The sequence below is a fragment of the Homo sapiens genome, chromosome 8 (genome assembly GCF_000001405.40).
Source record: "Homo sapiens chromosome 8, GRCh38.p14 Primary Assembly".
In the NCBI taxonomy this organism is placed as follows: domain Eukaryota; kingdom Metazoa; phylum Chordata; class Mammalia; order Primates; family Hominidae; genus Homo; species Homo sapiens.
This window is the reverse complement of record NC_000008.11, coordinates 63,086,077-63,092,316: the sequence shown is the minus strand read 5'-3', so window position 1 is coordinate 63,092,316 and position 6,240 is coordinate 63,086,077.

Sequence of the window (6,240 nt, the reverse complement as noted above, 5' to 3'; positions counted from 1 at the left end):
TTTAATAAGGTGTTAATCTCAGAGGGACTGGTCCCTCTGTTTGCATCCTCTCTTGTTGGCATGTTTTTTTAATGAGAAAAATGCAAAACTTCATTCGCCTTTGGAAAGCTTAAAATCTCTCCCAATTGACTCCTCTAAGACTTGTTCTTCTATTTATTTCCACTTTGGCTCCTCCTTCCTTTTGCCACATGAAGAAATCTAGAGATTTCTCGCACCCTTAGACCCCTTGAGGAATCCAGAAAAAGGTGCCACACACATCCTGGGTATTTGGGTTGGTTCCAAGTCTTTGCTATTGTAAATAGTGCTGCAATAGACATATGTGTGCATGTGTCTTTAGAGTGGAATGATTTATATTCATTTGGGTATACACCCAGTAATGAGATTGCTGGGTCAAATGGTATTTCTGGTTCTAGATCCTTGAGGAATCACTACACTGTCTTCCACAATGGATGAACTAATCTGCAATCTCACTAACAGTGTAAAAGCATTCCTATTTCTCCACAGCCTCACCAGCATCTATTGTTTCCTGACTTTTTAATAATCGCCATTCTGACTGGTGTGAGATGGTATTTTATTGTGGGTTTGATTTGCATTTCTCTACTGATCAGTGATGATGAGCTTTTTAAAATATGCTTGTTGGCGCATAAATGTTTTCTTTTGAGAAGCGTCTGTTCATATCCTTTGCCCACTTTTTGATGGGGTTGTTTGTTTGTTTTTCTTGTAAATTTATTTAAGTTCCTTGCAGATTCTGGATATTAGACCTTTGTCAAATGGGTAGATTGCAAAAATTTTCTCCCATTCTGTAGGTTGCCTCTTCATTCTGATGACAGTTTCTTTTGCTGTGCAGAAGCTTTTTAGTTTAATTAGATCCCATTTGTCAGTTTTGGCTTTTGTTGCAATTGCTTTTTGTGTTTTAGTCATGAAGTCTTTGCCCATGCCTGTGTCCTGAATGCTATTGCCTAGGCTTTCTTCTAGGATTTTTATGGTTTTGGGTTTTACATTTAAGTCTTTAATACATCTTGAGTTCCGTGATCTTTTTGGCTTTAGGGGGTACCAGGGATTACTGTGTTTTGTGAGAAAGCACTTAGCCACTGTGTGTGCAATAGCTACCAGGTCACTGGTAAGGGCAGCAATTTTGGAGACATCTGAGAGCAGTTGCAGTAAATAGTTATTACTGCAGGGCGCTGTTCATTTCTTTGTGCATTTAGAGGGGGAGAAAGAACAATTCAAACACTTTGAGGCTGTGGAAACATTTGCCTTCTAGGGCAATAAGATTCCCATTGGAGATAGGCAGATCAGAGAGTGAGCTGATTGATGTTGGGTCGTCCACTAGCATCAGGGGAATATCTTTTGAGACGTACCATGGAAGCATTGCATGGTCCATTCTGAAAGCATTTTCCTCTTTTGTGAGGATCTACACTGAGAATAAAATATATATTATATACCTTTTCATGTGATGCACCTCATGAAACATTCTTGCCAAAGTAAGATTTAATCTAAATCTAACCAATCCTCTAGATCTAACTATTCTTTACCAGAAACGCAGGGAAAAGAAAAACAATGTAATGATGCCAGTAAGAAGCAATCAGAAAAATCCAGAAGATGGTAAATGCTGAACAAAATTGACCCGGTTATACCGACAAATTAATAGCATTTAAAAAAGAGAGAGGCTATTCTTGACACTTATGCACAGCAACCAAATGCACTGTATGAACTGTATGTGGATCCTAATTTGAAGAACTTAAACGAGATATTTTTGAGATAATCAGGGAATTTTGAATACAGAGTGGGTACTAGATAATACTGGGGAATTGTTGCTAATTTTTTAAGTGTGAAAAATGGTATCGTGGTGATGTAAAAAATTTATTTTGTAGTATTTACAAGAGTATGATATTTAAAATAGTATGATATGTGGGTATGTCTTTAAAATATTTCAGCTTATTAAAAAAGTAGGGGAGGTGGATAAAACAAGATTGGCAAAATATCATTGATTGCTGAAGCAGACTGTATATTGGTATTCATTACTATTATTTTTACATATGGTTGAAATGTTCTGTGGTAAATATTATTTTATAAATTTTACATAGAGTTTCCCAAGTGATGTGGGGTAATATTTCTGCTTCAATGGAAAATTATGCATTACATAGACTCTAGATGGCACCTCCTGCATTATTTGATTCTCATTCTATCGAAGCTATTTTACAATTCTGTGAACTGTAGATAACTGATAGCAATGGCAAATAATTCTTGTCTAATAACATGCTAATTCTGAACTGCCTGGAGGAGTTTTGATTGACCTCTCTCCCTCACTGTGAAAGAAGTTAGTTTTGCCTCCATTTGCACATCCCTTTCAACATCCTTTACTCCATGTAAATGTGTGCTTTTTTTTTTAACTTATTTGAACTTGCAATAACATGTGTCTACTTTCCTCCTTACCAGTTGAATAAAATCTTTAACACTTGTTCAGTTTTATATATGTATAAGTGTCATAATTTTATCTCTTTTTGAAAATGTTATCTTTTAACAGTGAAAAATATTTGTCTTTTCTGTGAAGCTGAAAGTAAAATAAATTGGTATACTTATGAATTATTATGCTAATAAATAACTAAATGTTAAATAATTTCAGAGTAAATTGTAAGGTAGCTACAAAAGTCAACTAACTTTTCATTCCAGTTTTGCTTTTATTTCCTCATACCATTAGTTCCAGAAATCCCTTTGGACTCTTTCAGCCAGAGGCCTGGATGCATTTTCGGTAAACACAAGAGCTCACCAGAGTAAAATATGAGCATAGAAAATTTGAAAACATTTCAAAACAAAAATTGAGTAACAGCTCTTGAAAGCTTGTGCCAAGAATTCTAAAATTTTTATATAAATCCAAGATAACATTGTTGAAAGACAGAAGCACGATCTGTATAATTTAACCCCAAAGTAATCAAGTTGTAGTGTAAAATTCTCACCTTTTATGTCTGCCCCATCAATTCTTCAACTTTTTTCTCTCTTTCCCATAGTCGTGCAATCTTTTCTACCACTGGGCTAACTGCTGACATTGGCATTGCTTCCCACTTGAGTTATAGATATCCACCGCTCCCTCTGCCACCTCTTAGGTATTTAGGAGCCACCTCTCACCACCATCTGGGCTCCATGTTGGCTTCATTTTCACTGAGTTTAATGGCAATCAATCAGTCAATCTTATTGATTTCTTAGAAGAGTTTCACAGATGCAGAAATAACAGATTTATCAGTTCTAAAAAGGGACACTAGGCCAGGCACAGTGGCTGACACCTGAAATCCCAGCACTTTGGGAGGCTGAGGCGGGCTGATCACGAAGTCAAGAGATAGAGACCATCCTGGCCAACATGGTAAAACCCCATCTCTACTAAAAATACAAAAATTAGCTAGGCATGGCAGTGTGCGACTGTGGTCCCAGCTACTCAGGAGGCTGAAGTAGGAGAATCTATTGAACCCTGGAGGCGGAGGTTGCAGTGAACTGAGATTGCATCACTTCACTCCAGCCTGGCAATAGAGCAAGACTCCGTCTCAAAAAAAAAAAAGGGATACTACAATGAAGGAAACCAAAAATATGCCATTCACAATATACTCCTTTGGTCTATTTTGAGATGGCTATTCAGAGGGACTGCCAGCACAAGAATAGCCCTGAAAAGCTGTCTTTTATAGGGGAGATTTGTATCTGTAGAGAAAATCCATATAGGTGAAATAAACATCCAAGCTTTCTCTGAGGCTCCCCTTCTCTGGATCTAGGAAAGATTAACTTTTGGGAAAAAGGGACTAAAAGTTGGACACCTTAAAGGTCCACTAGGGAAACTGTTACTACAGGCTCCTGTCTTATTCTTTCTGAGAGCTCCTCCCTGGAGGATTTTATCTGCAAAACTAGGTAGGCTCTATGCCATGCTTTCCCCCTCACTTTCCCATAACCCGTGTCTCCATCTCTCCTCGAGAAGCCCCAAGCCCCTATTCTTTCTGTAACCTCAGGATGGTATAAAACTTCATTATCTGGCCCCTTCTTTAAGTCTCATACTTTGTGTATGACTCCCTTGTTTACACACGTTAATATACGCATGTGCCTTTTTCCCATTCGTCTGTCTACTGTCAGTTTGTTTTATAGACTAAAATCATGGAACTTACAGAGGGGAAGAGACATTCTCTTTGCACCTTCAATGGCTATAGCTAGATAATGTCCCCGATCTCTCACTGAACTTTCTGCCCAATTTCAAAAAAGTGGATGCTAATTACTAAAAACAAGTAGGAGAGAGCATTGAAAAAAATCTTTTGGAAGGGAGGAAAACATGCTCTATAGGCCCTCTCTTATTATTTTTAGACACTTAAAACTTCTAGAGAAGAAAGGCTACCATTGTCTTTTAATTCTTCGGAGCTTCCAGAAAGGCCTTGCACAGTCAGCCCCTCTTGACTAGTACTTTCTTCCTTCCCCCTCTCTCCTTTGGTTGGCAAACATTCCCAGTGCATTCACTAAGGCCGTGCAAACAGCCCCTTTGTGAGGCCTTTCCAAATCTCTTAGGCAGTGTCGGTAGTGTTCCTCTGTGTTCTCACACCATGGTCTCCAAACCTGTTTTGTACACTTGTCACATTGACTTGTAAACCTTTACTCAAATAGCTTCCGTCTCACTCTGAGTATAAGCCAAAGCTAGGAATCTTTTGTCCCCAGGTATAGTTGCTTTCTGGTTGGATTGGGATTATTTACTCTAATGCTTCCCATCTCCCTCAGAACAGAAGCCAAAGCCCACAGCCTTCCAGTCCCAGATACCCCTGGGCCAAGCTCGCTCACCTCACTCAGGTGTTTATTCCAACGTCACTGTAGGTGCTGCCCACTTTTTGGCTTCGTTTCCCCATAGCATTGACTGCCATTTCTTATATCACATTATTTACTGATTTATCTTGTTAATCATCCATTCCCTCCCCCAAAAGAATGAAAACTCCTTGAAAGCAAGAGTTGTGTCTATTTTGTTCACAGGAGTGCCCTCAGTACCTAGAATAGGGTCTGGACACAGTAACCACCCAATCACTCTTTCTTTAATGAATGAAATGGCAGTCTCTTTCTCCACCCTCTGAGCTCCTTAAAAGCAAAGATTTGGTTTAATTTGTTTTTCTCCAAGTCCAGCATTTACCTGGAGCATAGTATGCATTTAATAAGAAACGGTTTCATGGATTCTCTCTTGGGAAGACAAAACAATTCTAGGCTAGTTCCAATATGGAGAAATCAAGAAAAGGACAACGGAACAGCCTTTCAAGTTTCCACATTATTTCCCTACTTCATCTTCATTCCCCAGGCTTTCATAGACTCAATCATATAACAGCTTTGGACTGTCCATTTTAGCGAGTAGACATGCTTAAAGTTTAGTGATGGTGGAGTGTAACAGAGTAAGTTTATGGTGCTAAAAATATATGGAGGCCAGTCATGGTGGCTCAGGCCTGTAATCCCAAAACTTTGGGAGGCCCAGGCGGGAGGATCACTTGAGCCCAGGAGTTGGAGGCTGCTGTGAGCCTTGATCAGACTGCTGCACTCCAGCCTGGGCGACAGTGAGACCCTGTCTCTAAATAAGTAAATAATAAATTAATAAAAAATATAAATATATAAATATTGGTGCGGAAGGGGGTCAGGGTACGCGCTAGTCATTTATTTGTGTCAGTAACAGGGGCCGGTGCCAGGATTAGAGAAGTTTTCCCGAATCGGGAGGAAGGGAGAAAAGCGGTGAGGCTGCCAAGGAGGCATTATGGAATGCGTGTTTTAGAATGCATGCTGTAATCCAGTGCGAGGCGAGGGGTCATCAGTCTGGAATCTGATGGAAGGAGAAGGGAGAGGGCTCAGTAGCGCGTCGGCCACTGGCCATTAAAGGCTCGTTCTAAGGCTCCTTTCAGCTCCAAGATTGCAAGAAGGAAGGAAGAATGGAAGGAAGAGAGAGGGAGGAAGGAAAAAGAAAAAAAAAAAGATTCTCTAGTAGATCGTAAAAATCATCCCAACTAACTTTGACATCGTTTCCTCGGTGTTTGAACATCAGTGGCTTCCCTCGCTGGGAAAAAGCTGGGGTCCCTAACTAAAGCTGCTAAACAGGTGGCTAGCACCCGTGGGGACACTGTGCGGTTTCCTTTAAGAGGCAGCTCTGCTCGCCGCGGGTCCGGCGTGCGAGGCCGGAGACCGCCCTGCCAGGCTGGAGAGTGGTTGTGCGACGGGCAGCGGCCGCAGAGGCGGGGCCGAGGGTGGCGCGGG